Genomic DNA, 16592 nt, shown 5'->3' with positions numbered 1-16592 from the left:
AGCTGAGGTAGAGGCCTGTAGATGGAGGCTGAAGGCCTTCTGCAGTGCTGACTGTTTGGGCAAGATGAAGCATGAAACCTGATAGAACAGATAACCAGCTCTTTATATCATGATCCTTTCATCATAAGCTTATTACTCCTGAGAGAAATATAGACTTCAAGTGTGATGGGAAGACCTCCTGCTACCTTATCCAAGTCACCTGTGCCCACCCTCTGTGCCAAAGCGGTCAGGCAGGGTTCAGTGGAAGTCAGCTGGGAACAGAAGGAAGAGACATTTAATTACTGCTTTACGGCTTTTGTTCTCACTGGAGGTAAATACCTTGTTGGTGCCTCAGGGAATATTGGCCTTTTCCTTTGAACTCTGTCCTGATTCTGACATTAACCAGATCTGCGACCTTGGGAAAGTTACCCAGCCTCTCACAGCCTCTTTCCACATCAGGCAAATGGAGACGCTGCTTTCACAGGATGGGGGCTGGGAGTGGGGACAACAACAAAAAATGACAGATGTGAAACTGCCCCAAACTGGGAATCATTTTAATATTATTTTCCTGTTTGTGTAGTACACAGCCCTCATTGTTGAGTCACTGGTGCTGGAAGTGGTGGTGGCCACGAGATGTGAGCTGGAGGGAGGCCCAGTCCACAGGGAGGGAGAAGCATTCAATGCGCAGGCCCTGGAGCTCAGCCCCATAAGCAGCGACAAAGGGGGTGAATATGGCTGGGAAGCAGTTTGGGGAAGAGGGGTTTGTTTTCTAGAGGGAGCCAACCACATTCCTCCCAGGCAGTATCACATGGCCCACACCCAACAGACAAGGCCAAGGGCATGGCCTCTCTGTAGGCAGTCCCCAAAAGGAAGGGTGGATGGTCACCACCCAATCCTGTCATTCTGTCCACACCAGCGCATGAGCATATCCGAGAACATATCTGTGCCGAGCTGCCATGAAAGTGACTAAATAGTAATAACTTGCATTTGTCAGACTTCCCACCTAGCAGAAGTTTTGTGATTCATGAGGACATCCTGTTTCTGAGTAAGGAATCTTATCGTGATTTCCTTAAACTGTTGACATAGTGGTTAATGCATGCCTGACATGGAAAAGGATGCTGATTTGCTTCTGAATCATGAAGTTTTGCTGATTTGTTTCTGAATCATGAAACTTTGCTGTCTTGCCCGTAGACATTTTAGCCTGTAGGTTGTCATCTGTAGCCAGTGACTAATCTCTCTATTATACCTTCCAATAACAAAAAGACAACTCTTTGTATGAAGAGTCCTCCTCCCCTCTTCTAAACCTTCCCATAAAAGCTTTCTAACTTGTAACAGACTCTAGGACACTCCCAGCTTTGTTGGTGTGTCTTCCTGGGTCGATCCTCACATTTGGCTTCCAATAAACATTTATCAAGTTATTTCTGGTGAAACAGCTGTAATTTCAATCGACAATAGGAATCCAGAAAATCTATGATGCAAAGCTGAAGTATCACCTATTCCAGGTGCTCTTTGGTTTTGGGGGGAAACAGGCCACTCAAACTGACTTACTTGAGTAAAGAGAGTGACTGGCAATGGGCTTCTTGGATCACAAGCAATAGAAACTAAACTAAGGGAAATTTAAAAAGGCATCATCTGAACAAGGAAAGCAAAGGAATGAGGTGCTGCCACTGGACAACTCAGCTCCAACTACCAGTTCTTAGAAAATGTGATTGGCCCAGCTCGGGCTACGTTTCCATCTCTGTCCATGTTGCGGAGGAGGTGGCCAGGGTCCTGTGGTTGCATCCCCACCAGAACCACTTGGAACTGTGGAGCAGCTGCTTCCCAAAAGAAGGACCCTGGCTGCCAAAGATACATGGCTCCCTCATGGGCCTCGCGCAATTGGCACCAGGGCCTGGAAGCCACCAGGAGCCCAGGCAGCTCCCCTCCCATCTCTTTTTCACTGCATCCTCCTGCCTTTTGCAGTCAGCTTCCTTCCAACTTGGCTCCCAGGGAACTCACAAGAGTGGCATCAGGCTCCAAGTACACATGATCGCGAGCAGGCTGCTCTCCGTCTCTCATATTTTCTCCCCAAGAAATGGTAGTTGGAGCTGAGTTGTCCAGTGGCAACACCTCATTCCTTTCCTTCTAAATGTTCGGACGACACCTTTCTTAGTTTCCCTTAGTTTAGTTTCTGTTGCTCATTATCAAAGACACCCATTGCCAGTCACTCTCTTTACTTAAGCCAGGAGGAATGGCAGGGTGTGGCTAAGTATGCCCAGTTTATTCTTCCCCAAATTATGAATCACAAGTCCCCATCCATCACTGGGCATTGGGCGGGTAAAGAGGCAGGAAGAGGCCAGGACTCCCGTACTGCTCTTGGAAGGAAGCTGAAGGGAAGTGCTCCTCTCCCAACAGCATGGATGTCACTTCCTCCAGGAAGCCTTCCCTGATTCCAGTCCCCAGTCTGGGCTATGTGTCCCTTCTCTGAGCTCCCTTTGTACTCTGGGCATCCCCTTTCCTGGGACTTACTACCTGGATTATAATAGCCCATCAGTATGTCTCCCTAGCTCGACTGCGATCTTCTTAAGGGTAGGGCCTGTGTTGTCATCATCGTCATCCTGAGCACACGGTTTTGCACAAAGTGGACACTCCATGTGCTTAAGGAGCACGTTGCTGGCTGCGGATAGAGGGGAAAATGCAGTCTCAGCCTTGTGGTTTGACTTATGGTGGAAACGTCAATTGCATAAAATGATAAGAAAGGATGATCTAGATGCAATATCCTGGGACTCATCTGGGCCAAGTGCCTTTATGACAGGCTTGGGGATGGGGTCAAGATGTACCTTGAGTTCTTTACCAAGATTCAGAGACAGGCCTAAGACAGCTCTTTTTATCTGAGAAGTGGTATATAATTGCTGGATCTGGGGTCATACTGCCTGGGTTGAAATCCCAGCACACACCAGCTGTGTGACTTTGGACAAACTGCTTAACCTTTGTGTCTTTGTTTCGTCATTTATAAAATGAGGAGATTATATAGTACCCCCACTTCATAGGTTGCTATAAGGTTGAAGTAAGTTAATATGTATGAAGTACTCAGAACAATGCATAGTCCAAAGCCAGTACTCAATAGATGTTAATTATTCCATCTACTCATTCACAGAGTCAGCCAGGATTATCACTGTCATTTCAGAGTTTACCTGAATCCAGTACAAACATTCTGTAACTCTGAAAACAATGCATATAAACTAAGCCTGCATTCATTTACTCCTTTGTTTACTCATTTATTCATCCAATTGTTCTTTCAAAAAAAAAATAGATTCTTAACTCTCTAGGCCCTTTTTCTCATCTGGAAAAGGCGCACAATAATTCCCCCAGCCTGGGGTTGTTGCCAGTTACCTGAGATATGTATGTAAACTGCTCAGCTCATGATGTGACAAACAGCTAATGCTCACCATCATCTTTGCCTCTTTGGGTTCACTGGGCAATTTGCAACAAGGTTTCTGGTCATTAACACAAAATCCCCACATTTCTCTTATAGTGGGATCCACCAGGTGGCAGCATGGATTTAGACATGGGATGAAACGGTCTCCCCTTTCTAGTCCTCTCACATCCAGGGCTGACATTTATTAGCCTGTTCATTATAACCTAGGGAAAAATCCAATTTAGAAACCTTTTGGGAGGAGGAGACACTACAGCCATTGAAGGCTTTCATTGCAAAAATAAACAGGCACAGCACCTGGCCTTTCCCAGAGGCCTGCAGGTGGCTGTCTGCTGAGAGCCACATCTTACTCACCCAGGGAAAATCTGCTCTTTGTAGAACTGGTTTCAAGATGAAAAGTTCAGTTCACATGAACAAGAGAAGCTGGGCTGAACTCATTGACTCTTACTATGTGTATTGGTCTGCTTGGGCTGCTGTAACCAAATGCCACAGACTGGGTGGCTTAAAAAACAGACATTCATTTCTCACTGTTCTGGAAGCCGGGAAGTCCAAGATTAACCTGCTGGCTGATTTGGTTCCTGTTGAGGACTCTTTCTGGCTTGGAGATGGCTACCTTCTTCATGAGTCCTCATATGGCAAAGAGAGAGCTCTGGTGTCTCTTTCTCTTCTTATAAGGGCACTAATCCCATGATGAAGGCCCCACCCTCATGACCTCATTTAAACATAATTCTCTGTCTAAGGTTTCTGTCTCCAAATCCCATCACTTTGGGGGTTAGGGCTTCAATATATGAATTTAGCGGGGGACACAATTCAGTTCATAGCATTATCTACAATGTATTTCTAGTTTTTGTGTACTCTTCTGTTTGTCTACCTAGTTCCTATTATTCAGACATATATCTATTTATATAGACTATTGTTTATCTTTTTATTGTCTGTCGTTATTACTAGCCATTAATGTTGGGATGATCTTAGCACTGTCCAATAGAACTTTCTGAAATGGCAGAAATGTTCTATATCAGTGCCATTTACTATGGTGACCATCAGACACATGTAGCTATTGAGTTTTTAACATGTGGCTAGTGCAACTGGGAAAGTGAATTTTAAACTTTATTTCACTTTAGTTATTTAAATTTAACTTGAAATAGGCACGTGGCTATTGGTAACTACCATAGTGGACAGCTCAGATCTGAATAGAAGAATATATCTGCAGTTTCCCCTCTTAATTGATTAGATTGTGTTGAGTCTGGGAAGAGGTAATATTTGGGATTTCATGCAGGCTTGATTTCCAGAGTTAACTGTTGTGGGGGCAGGCAAAATGGCACATCTTTATAAATGAAGAAATAGGCTCAGGGAAATGAAGTCACTGCTGAAGCTGACACAGGGGGTCAATGGCTGAGCCTATTCCCTCCCTGCAAGGCTCCAGCTGGCAGCTTCTTCTTCTGTGCAGTCCTCCAGGAATCCAGGTCCCTTCTTCTCTCTCTTGGAGGTGACTTAGGAAGAGTCACTGGACAATCAGAATAGGCCCACTTGTCCAGTGTGTGGCATGTGAGTATGCGTGTTTGGGTGTATGCATGCGTGTATATGAGCAGGCTCTTGGCAGAGATTGTGTAACCTGCTACACAGAAACAAGGATGATGTGCAAATATGAATTGTCCACTGCGCCCTCCCCAATCCAGTCCATAATAACTGTTTATTTTAGGTGCATTTCAGGGACTGATGTCATTTTATAGTCTGTTTAATGCAACCATTCTAACGGGCCCGTTAGAGCACTGGAAAAGATGTGGTGGTGTCTGAGCACAGGAGAGTCCAGTCAGGGGGTTAGAGACACCCTTGGAGCTTCTCCCAAGCCCTGCCAGCTAGCAATTGCCAGCTACTGAGGAATTGCCAAGTGCCAGGCCCTGGGCTCAGCACCCTACATACAGCATCTCATCAATATTTACATCCCAACACATGAGGAAAATGGCCCCAGCCCCCATTTTATAGAGGCATCGAGAGGCATCTAGCTAGGATGTGGCTGAGCCACTCCAAAGCCTGAAGTCTTAAACTCTTAGCTCTTTTCTTCAGTGACTGGCTTCAAACTATTATATTTTCCCTGTTGTCCTTTAGCCCACAGCAGCCAGCTGATATGGAGAATGTTTGTGTGGGCAAACGTCTTAATTGCCAAGGGTATGGACTCCAGAGTGGGGACGGGCAAGTTCCCTCCTGATTTCATCACATGCAAATCATGCACATGCATCACTTTAACGACACTGTCCTTGAGCTGGTACAGGAGGAGACTTATGGATTTTCCCCAAATATAATCTTATTTTCCATGAGCTTACCATATGATTCTAGGAGTGAGTTCCATGTCATTTTTTTTTTTTTTTTTTGATAGAGTCTTGCTCCGTGGCCCAGACTACAGTGCAGTGATGCTATCATAGCTCACTGTAGCCTCAGACTCCTGGGCTCAAGTGATCCTCCCTTCTGAATAGCCAGGACTACAGCCACATACCACCATGCCTGGCTGTTGCAATTATTTTTTTTTTTATAGAGACAGGATCTCACTATGCTGCCCAGGTTGGTCTTGAACTACTGGCCTCAAGTGATCCTCCTGGCTTGGCCTCCCAAAGTGTTGGGATTACAGGTGTGAGCCACCATGCCCAGCCAGAATTCCATGCCACTCTTACAGAGCTGACCGTTCTTGCTGCCAGATCTTTAACCCACCAAGCCCAGATCTTTTCCAGGGTTGCTGGGACCAGGGTATTATACTCCTGGTGAGCTGGTTACTCAGAATGATTCCTAGGCATGATGAGGCTGTAACCAAAAGAGCATGTGGAATCTGCAGCACAGCTCCAGCTGGTTCCAGCTTGTCTCATCATGGCCGGATGATGAAGGGCTCTTCCTTTCACAGCACCATTCATCTCTCCCTAGGTGTCCTGAGCCCACTGTGCTGGAGGCTGTTGAAAAGGGAGGTTGTCCATAGCAGATGAGTCGGATGAGGCTGAGTAGAGGAGTCACTCCTTCTGGGTGATCAATGGGTGATGCATTGGCTGTGGTGAGAAAGTGAGTTCTAGTCCTGCTTAATCTCTGACGAGGGGAGCAACATTGTGTACAAGTATTCAAACAGAGGCTCCATAAATAACAATAATTCATCATACTTGTTGAGTGCCATGCAGTTGTGAATGGTGCACTCTCTCCTTCCCCTTCTACAGTCACCTCATTGACTGCACATTTCACAGATAAGGCTCAGAGAGGGGACATGAATTGCCCAAAGTAACACAGCTAGAATGTAGTAAAGGCAAGGTTCTAAACCTAGGTCTGGATGATGTCAAATCCCAAGATTGGGATCCCTTTAAAGTGTAATAACAGTGGTCATGACATAGATTCGGAGCTACAGTAAAACCTTATCAGGCCCCAAACTGAAAAGATTTTAGTGCCCTCTTTTCCTATATGTAATTAAAAATGAAAACAATCCTAAACTATAAAGTATTAAAAAAGCACAACAAACTTGTAACCCCCCAGCCCCCATCCCAGGGTAACTATAGTGCCTTTTTCTTTTTCTCTATTAAATTGCATTCAAAAGCTCTCTTTTCCTGATCTTCTCCTCTCTCTGCTCCACTTCCTCTCATTTTGACTGTCTGCTTTTCCGAAGCTCTAGTCCTGCTTAATCTCTGACGAGGGGAGTAACATTGTGTACAGAGGTCATGAGGTTTATCCTGTGATGACTGGAGTGTGAAGGACAGAATCTTCACTAGATTCCCTTTCAACTCAGAGTCTGGGATTCTATCACTTCAAAAACAGCAAGATATATCACTTCATCATGTGGCAATGTCTAATATTCTGAGAATATTGTAAACACTTGTTAAAATCTCTTCCTTATGAGGAATGGAGAAAGAAGTATTAAGGGAAAAGACAAACTGTGAACACAAATATCTGCTTACACCTTGGAAGGCGAATTACCAGTGAGACAATGTGCTTTATTTCATATGCAAATGTGGCAAGAAAAACCCAACACAATGCCAACTAAGCTACACAGACTAAGGCAGCAAAGAATGGTATCACTGCAAAGCGCTACTTGGTTCGCCTATTTAGATTTGCTCCACAGAGCACTATATTTGAGAGGATGGATAAAAACCAAAACCCATACATTAATAATCTGGTACATTCTGAATGGCATTTTATTGATATGAGCAATTCAAAATGAGAGTGTTCAGTGTACTGTGGCTTCATTCATAAAGTACATGGTTCCTGAATTTTCATTTGGATTGCATGTATAGTTCGCAAATTGGTTATTTCTTCTTTACACTTGGGTTCCTGATTTCATTTGGTGGTGACAGCTCTGAAATTTGGGTTTGTAACGCTTGTTGCTTCTTCGCATTGGCAATTTTCTCTCTTCCCCCTGGGGATACTGTGGACATCTTACTAATTGGTTAAAGATAATTGGGAAGGAAAGCTGTGTCACATAATTGGAAGATGCAACAGTAGAGCCTGTCCTTTTCTAGACTTAAACGCTTCCAGAAAGAAGATGTCAGTTTTCATTTGGCTTTTATGAGGAAGAAATGGCACTGAATGAATGGTGAGCCCTTAATAGGTTGGGCTTTGTGTCTCAAGGATCAATCTTCCTTGACTGTGAGCTTTGTGAGGGGCAGGAGCTGTGTCCCATTCACTGAGTCCCTGTCTCCTGGCACAGTGTCTGAAACACAGCAGGTGCTCAGGAAACATCTCCTCAACCTATGAAGGACTGAAGGGATGGCTATGGGGAAGGTTCTATCAGTGCTTCTAGATAGTTCCAGTTTCCAGTTAAATGAAAGATTAATGATTAACAGGATAAAAACCAGCTTTTTTTTTAGAAGGAAGATGGCAGATAGAAGGCAGGACTAACTTGCAGCTCCAGCTTCGACAAATAGAGCAGCATGTGGAGACTCACATCATTAACTTTTGCTCCAGAACTACTGCAGGAATATACCAGGAATGCTGAGCGAATCCATAGACGCTCTGAAGGAAGTGGATTGCTCCTGCAGGGCCTGGGAGGCAGCCCAAATACTGTGAGTGCCCAAGCTGTGACAGTGGGAAAGGGGAATCATCCGCCCCCAAACACACACCCTCACTGGGGAACCTGAAGGTCTAGATCACAGGAGAAGGACTGAACCTTACCTGGAGCTGAGTTAATTGAGAGAGCTGAGTGAAATACAGGGGTAGAGGAAGCAGCAGGAAAAGCCCTGTGGGCTCTCTGGGTCCCTAAGGAAGCCATTTCTGACTTGTCTCACAGGGGTCCTTAGGGAGGGCTGCCAGAGGAACTGGGAAAAGACCACAGACAGAAGGAAACCTCCAGGTGAACTCTGTAACAATTCCAACCAAACACGAGGTCTCCTGGCCAGAACTCGAAAGAGGGCATGAATCTGGTGTGTAGACTCCAGAGGTGGCGAGGCATGAAAGCCCTTCTTGTTTTCTCAGCTGGGAGGCTGGTAGCCTGGAGCAAGTTCTCAGCCTTGCTCATCCACTGCCTGGAAACAAGTTCGGTGCTGCTGGGGGAGTGCACAGTGGGAGTGAGACTGGCCTTTTGGGTTGCGTAGGAGCTGGGTGAGGCCTGTAACTGCTGGCTTTCCCCCACTTCCCTGACAACCTGCCTGACACAGCAGAGGGAGCCATAATCCTCCTGGGAGCATAACTCCATTGACATAGGAATCACACCTCCATCCCCCACAGTAGTGGCAGCAAGCCCCACCCAAGGAGAGTCTGAGCTCAGACATACCTAGCCTTGCCCTTACCTGATGGTCCTTTCCTACCCGCCCTGGTAGCAGAAGAGAAAGGGCATATTCTTTTAGGAGTTCTAGGGCCCTGCCCACTGCTTGATCCTCCCTCTACTACCACAGCTGATGCTGTCTTGAAAACGCCACTTCCTGGGAGGAGGCCAACCAGCACAAAACTAGTGCATTAAACCACCAAAGCTAAGAACCCTCACAGAGTCCATTTCACCCCCTCTGCCACCTCCACTGGAACAGGTGCTGGTATCCACAATGGAGAGACCTGAAGATGGTTCACATCACAGGATTCTGTGCAAACACCCCTCAGTACCAGCCCGGGGCCTGGTAGTCCTGCTGGGTGGTTAGATCCTGAAGGGAAATAATAATCACTACAGTTCAGCTCTCAGGAAGCCACATTTCTAGGAAAAGGGGGAGCGTACCACATCAAGGGAACACCCCATGGGACAAAAGAATCTGCATGGCAGCCTTGAGCCCCAGATCTTCCCTCTCACATAGCCTACCCAAATGAGAAGGAACCCGGAAAAAAAATACTGGTAACATGACAAAACAAGGTTCTTTAACACCCCCAAAAAGTCACACTAGCTCACCTGCAATGGATCCAAATGAAGAAGAAATCCCTGATTTACCTAAAAAAAGAATTTAGAAGGTTGATTATTAAACTAATCAAGGAGGCACCAGAGAAAGATGAAGTCCAATTTAAGGAAATAAAAAAATGATACAAGATATGAGGGAAGAAATCTTCAGTGAAATAGCATAAATAAAAAACAATCACAACTTCAGGAAATAAAGGACACACTTAGAGAAATGCAAAATGTACCGGAAAATCTCAGCAATAGAATCGAACAAGCAGCAGAAAGAACTTCAGACTCGAAGACAAGGTTTTTGATTTAACCCAATCCAACAAAGACAAAAGAATTTTTAAAAAATGAACAAAGCCTCCAAGAAGTTTGGGATTATGTTAAATGACCAAACCTAAGAATAATTGGCATTCCTAAGGAAGAAGAGAAATCTAAAAGTTTGGAAAACATATTTGGGGGAATAATTGAGGAAAACTTCCCCAGCCTTGCTAGAAACCTAGACATCCAAATACAAGAAGCTCAAAGAACACCTGGGAAATTTACTGCAAAAGATCATCACCTAGGCACACTGTCATCAGGTTATCTAAAGTCAAGATGAAGGAAAGAATCTTGAGAGCTGTGAGGCAAAAGCACCAGGTAACCTATAAAGGAAAACCTATCAGATTAACAGCAGATTTGTCAGCAGAAACCCTACAAGCTAGAAGGGATTGGGACCCTATCTTCAACCTCCGTAAATAGCCAAGAATTTGGTATCCAGTGAAACTAAGCTCCATAAATGAAGGAAAGATGATAGTCTTTTTCAGACAAACAAATGCTAAGAGAATTTGCCACTACCAAACCACCACTACAAGAACTACTAAAAGGAGCTCTAAATCTTGAAACAAATCCCAGAAACACATCAAAACAGAATCTCTTTAAAGCATAAATCTCACAGGACCTATAAAAATTTTTTTTAAAAACCCAAGGTATACAGGCAACAAATAGCATGATGAATGGAATAGTACCTCACATTTCAATACTAATGTTGAATGCAAATAGCCTAAATGCTCCACTTAGAAGATACAGAATTGCAGAATGGACAAGAATTCGCCAACCAAGTACCTGCTGCCTTCAAGAGACTCACCTGACACATAAAGACTCACATAAACTTAAGGTAGAGGTGGAAAAAGACATTCTACACAAATGGACACCAAAAGCGAGCAGAAGTAGCTATTCTTATATCAGACAAAACAAACTTTAAAGCAACAGCAGTTTAAAAAGACAAAGCAGGATATTATATAATGATAAAAGGCTTTGTCCAACAGGAAAATATCACAATCCTAAATATATACGCACCTAACACCAGAGCTCCCAAATTTATAAAACAATTACTACTGGACCTAAGAAATGAGATAGACAGCAACACAATAATACTAGGGGACTTCAATACTCCACTGACAGCACTAGACAGGTCTTCAAGACAGAACTTCAACAAAGAAACAATGGATTTAAACTATACCCTGGAACAAATGGACTTGACAAATATTTAAGAACATTCTACCCAACAACTGCAGAATATACATTCTATTCATCAGTGCATGGAATTTTCTCCAAGATAGACCATATGATAGGTCACAAAACAAGTCTCAATAAATTTAAGAAAACTGAAACTATATCAAGTACTGTCTCAGACCACAGTGCAATAAAATTGGAAATCAACTCCAAATGGAATCCTCAAAACCATATATACATGGAAATTAAATAACCTGCTCTTGAATGATCGTTGGGTCAACAATGAAATCAAGATGGAAATTAAAAAGTTCTTTGAACTGAACAATAATAGTGACACAACCTATCAAAACTTTTGAGACACAGCAAAAGTGATGCTAAGAGGAAACTTCATAGCATTAAACGCCTACATCAAAAAGTCTGAAAGAGCACAAATAGACAATCTAAGGTCACACCTCATGGAACTGGAGAAACAAGAACAATCCAAACCCCAACCCAGCAGAGGAAAAGAAATAACAAAGATCAGAGCAGAACTAAATGAAATTGAAGCAAGAGAAACAATACAAAAGATAAATGAAACAAAAAGCTGGTTCTTTGAAAAGATAAATAAAACTGATAGACCATTAGCAAGATTAACCAAAAAGAGAGAAGATCCAAATAAGCTCAATTAGAAACAAAATGGGAGATATTACAACCAACACCACAGAAATACAAAAGATCATTCAAGGCTACTATGAACACCTTTATGAACATAAACTATAAAACCTAGAGGAGATGCATAAATTCCTGGAAAGATACAATTCTCTTAGCTTAAATCAGGAAGAATTAGAAACCCTGAAGAGACCCAAAACAAACAGTGAAAATGAAATGGTAATTAAAAAAAATACCAACAGAAAAAGTCCAGGACCAGATGGATTCACAGCTGAAACCAGGCATTCAAAGAAGAATTGGTACCAATCCTATTGACACTATTCCATAAGATAGAGAAAGAGGGAATCCTCCCTAAATCATTCTATGAAGCTAGTATCACCCTAACACCAAAACTGGGAAAGGACATAACAAAAAAAGAAAATTACACACCAATATTCCTGTTGAACATAGATGCAAAAATCCCCACCAAAATACTAGCTAACCAAATTCAACAGCATATCAAAAAGGATAATACACCATTATCAAGTAGGTTTCATACTAGGGATGTAGGGATAGTTTAACATATGCAAGTCAATAAATATGACACACTACTTAAACAATTAACAACAAAAATCACATCACATGATCATCTCAATAGACACAGAAAAAGCATGTGACAAAATCCAGCATCACTTTTATGATTACAACTCTCAGCAAAATCGGCATACAAGGGACATACCTCAATGAAATAAAAGCCATCTATCACAACCCACAGCCAACATAATACTGAACTGGGAAAAGTTGAAAGCATTCCCTCTGAGAACTGGAACAAGACAAGGATGCCCACTCTCACCACTTCTATTCAACGTAGTATTGGAAGTCCTAGTCAGAGCAATCAGGCAAGAGAAAAAAAATAAAGGGCATTCAAATCACTAAAGAGGAAGTCAAACTGTTGCTGTTTGCTCATGGTATGACTGTATACCTAGAAAACCCTAAAGACTCCTCCAAAAAGCTCCTAGAACTGATTAATGAATTCAGCAAAGTTTCAGGATACAAAGTTAATGTACACAAGTCAGTAGCTCTGCTATACACCAACAGTGATCAAGCTAAGAATCAAATGAAGAACTCAACCTTTTTTTACAATAAGCTTTTCTTTTTTACAAATAAAATAAAATACTTAGGAATATATCTAACCAAGGAGGTGAAAGACCTCTGCAAGGACAACTACAAAACACTGCTGAAAGAAATCATAGACACAAACAAATGGAAAACACATGTCATGCTCATGGATGGGTAAAATTAACATTGTGAAAATAATCATATTGCCAAAAGCAATCTATAAATTCAATGCAATTCCCATCAAAATACCACCATCATTCTTCACAGAACTAGAAAAAACATTCCTAAAATTCACATGGAACTGAAAAGAGTCTACCTAGCCAAAGCAAGACTAAGCAAAAAGAACAAATCTGGAGGCATCACATTACCTGATTTCAAACTATATTATAAAGCCACAGTCACCAAAACAGCATGGTACTGGTATAAAAATAGGCACATAGACCAGTGGAACAGAACAGAGAACCAAGAAATAAATCCAAATACTTACAGCCAACTGATCTTCAACAAAGCAAACAAAAACATAAAGTGGGGAAAGGACACCCTATTCAACAAATGGTGCTGGGATAATTGGCAAGCCACATGTAGGAGAATGAAACTGGATCCTCATCTCTCACCTTGTACAAAAGTCAACTCCAGATGGATCAAGGACTTAAATCTAAGACCTAAAACTATACAAATTCTAGAAGATAACATTGGAAAAACCCTTCTAGACATTGGCTTAGGCAAAGGTTTCATGACCAAAAGAACCCAAAAGCAAATGCAACAAAAACAAAACAAAGATACATACTTGGGACTTTAAATTAAACTAAAGAGCTTTTGCAGAGCAAAAGGAACAGTCAGCAGAGTAAACAGACAACCCACAGAGTGGGGGAAAATCTTCACAATCTATACACCTGACAAAGGAATAATATCCAGAATCTACAAGGAACTCTAACAAATTAGCAAGAAATAAACAATCCCATCAAAAAGTGGGCTAAGAGCATGAATAGAAATTGCTCAAAATAAGATATACAAATGGCCATCAAACATATGAAAAAATGCTCAACATAACTAATGATCACAGAAATGCAAATCAAAACCACAATGTGATACCACCCTACTCCCTCAAGAATGACCATTATCAAAAAAAAAAAAAATAGATGTTGGCATGGATGTGCTGACAAGGGAACACTTCTACACTGCTGGTAGGAATGTAAACCAGTACAACCACTATGGAAAACAGTCTGGAGATTCTTTAAAGATCTAAAAGCAGAACTACCATTTGATCCACTAATGGGTATCTACCCAGAGGAAAAGAAGTCATTATACAAAAAAGATACTTGCACATGCATGTTTATAGCAGCACAATTTGTAATTACAAAAATATGGAACTAGCCCAAATGCCCATCAATCAATGAGTGGATAAAGAAATTGTGGTATATATGTATAATGGAATACTACTCAGCCATAAAAAGCAATGAATTAATGGCATTTGCAGCAAACAAGATGGGATTGGAGACTATTATTCTAAGCGAAGTAACTCAGGAATGAAAAACCGAACATTGTATGTTCTCACTCGTAAGTGGGAGCTAAGCTATGAGAATGCAAAGGCATAAGGATGATACAATAGACTTCAAGGACTCATGAGGAAAGGGTGGGAAGGGGGTGAGGGGAAAAAGGCTACAAACTGGGTTCAGTGTATACTGCTTGGGTGACAGGCGCACCAAAATCTCACAAACCACTAAAGAACTTATGTAAGCAAATACTACCTGTTCCCCAAAAACCTATGGAAATAATAAAAAACAGGATAAAACCATACCCAGATATGCATGCCCACTTCTCCAGGGCTAATGCCTTCTCAGTTGTGGCATCTGGTTTCTGGTCTCAGCCTTTGGTTCTCTTTTACCTGGACCCATTCTAAAAGAGTTGGTCACTGTGGCACACAAAGTGTGTTCAGGACCAACCAGTTTTAGGGATAAAATCTCACAGAGAAGCAAACTTCTAGTTCCCAAAGCCCCTGAACATTAATACATGAAGCAACTTGGGGCATTCTGGCCCTTTGTTTTCCTAGTTGTAAGACTGTCCAGAACCTCTCTTGATGCTGCTGAAACTTGACCTAGAAAATGGACATCCCAAGGGGCATGCAATCAGCCCCTGGCTTTGTCTCCCAATCCCAGCAGAGTAGGATAAACCATGAGAAATCCAGTGCAACATCCAGCCTATTGGGAGATCCTGTGCCCCAAATCCAGCTGTTCTCAAAGCTTCCCTAGGCAAGGCATCTGGTGGTTGCCTGATTTTTCATTGGGTTGTGTTGACATCATGGGGATACAGCCTCAAGGGGTGTGGCTTTCACAGGACCTGTAGGTCTCCCAAAGGCCTCTCCCACCAGGACTGAGGAGCTGAGTGATGAAGTGGGCACCAAAAGAAAAAGCAAGCTCTCATATATGTTGAGTGAAGATTCATCAGAGTCCAGGGGCTTGGGGGACAGATTGGTGGTGAAACTGTTACGCTAATGAGACTATTTCAATTCCAATGAGTCCCATGGCCTCTGCCCAAATGTGAGTTTGTGCATGTGCAAATATTAACACTGAAATGTTAAAAATGAAGTGCTGAACTGTGCAAGCCAGTGTTGATCATAACCATACCTCCAAGTGGTTACAGAGAGACCCAAAGCAATTGTTTCTTACTGTCTTAGTCTGTTCAGGCTGCTATAACAAAATACCATAAACTGGATGGTAACTTATTTCTCACAGTTCTAATCTGGGAAGTCCAAATTCAAGGTACCAGCAGATTTGGTGTCTGTGAGGACCCGCTTCCTGGTTCATAGATGGCAGAAGAGATGAGGGGTCTCTTTGGGGCCTTTATTACATATAACAGCACTAATCTCATTAATGAAGGTTCATGACCTAATCAACTCCCAAAGACCCCACCTCCAGATACCTTCACATTGGGGATTAGGTTTTAAGACATGAACTGGGGAGTGGGGGTGACACAAACATGCAGTCTGTAGCACCTACTACTCATCCGTGTACACTTTACCAGTGGTTGACCCTCAACGATGTTTCCATTACTTGGTTCCACACTCCTTCGTAGGCACATTCTTTCTGGTTTCTAGTGGCCAGCAGAGCTCATGAGTTGGATGCATGACATTTACTCAGAAGTCTACAGAATGTCCTTTGGAAGAAGTATGTTCTCCTGTTTATGATGGAGACTTAGCAAGGCGAAGCTGGGCTTGCAATATGCCTTTTCCAGCTTCCTGTGCCTGTGTCTGCCTCCTACTCCTGGTACTGACATAGGCACCACCACTTCCTTTTACTTGATTATTTCATTTGCCTTGAAAGCCAAGAGCAACCAGGGTCCAGGAGGAAGGAAAAAAAATGGAAGAGTAGGGAACCCATCAGTTCTTGGACCTACTTGTACTATTCTCTGCAATGGCCTTCACCCCACGGTGAGCCTCACAAAAAGCATTTCATAGGGGCTCCAAGTTTATTTCTCACTGTAGCAAGATAGTGGCTTTGGAAATGTCTTTTGTGCGTATTTGAGTCCTCTTTACAGAGAAGCAGAGAGTGGAGTAAAAAAGTTGCTCCTCCAGTCTCTTAAGTACTTTCTAAGTACATGGAGAGAACTGGAGCAAATTAGGCTTCAGTGAGAAGCAGCACC

At 42.7% G+C, this 16592-nt stretch overlaps 1 annotated feature.

The window, feature by feature from the left end:
* Positions 262–1461: an enhancer, noted in NCBI's record as "P300/CBP strongly-dependent group 1 enhancer chr11:33711673-33712872 (GRCh37/hg19 assembly coordinates)". NCBI's record gives its function as "activates an origin of replication core promoter dependent on BRD2, BRD4, P300/CBP, MED14 and CDK7 cofactors, with strong dependence on P300/CBP, by STARR-seq in HCT116 cells {active_cell/tissue: HCT116}" and the evidence as "EXISTENCE:reporter gene assay evidence [ECO:0000049][PMID:35650434]".

This window comes from Homo sapiens, chromosome 11 (assembly GCF_000001405.40).
Source record: "Homo sapiens chromosome 11, GRCh38.p14 Primary Assembly".
NCBI classification, from domain to species: domain Eukaryota; kingdom Metazoa; phylum Chordata; class Mammalia; order Primates; family Hominidae; genus Homo; species Homo sapiens.
This window is presented reverse-complemented; position numbering and strand designations above follow the sequence as displayed.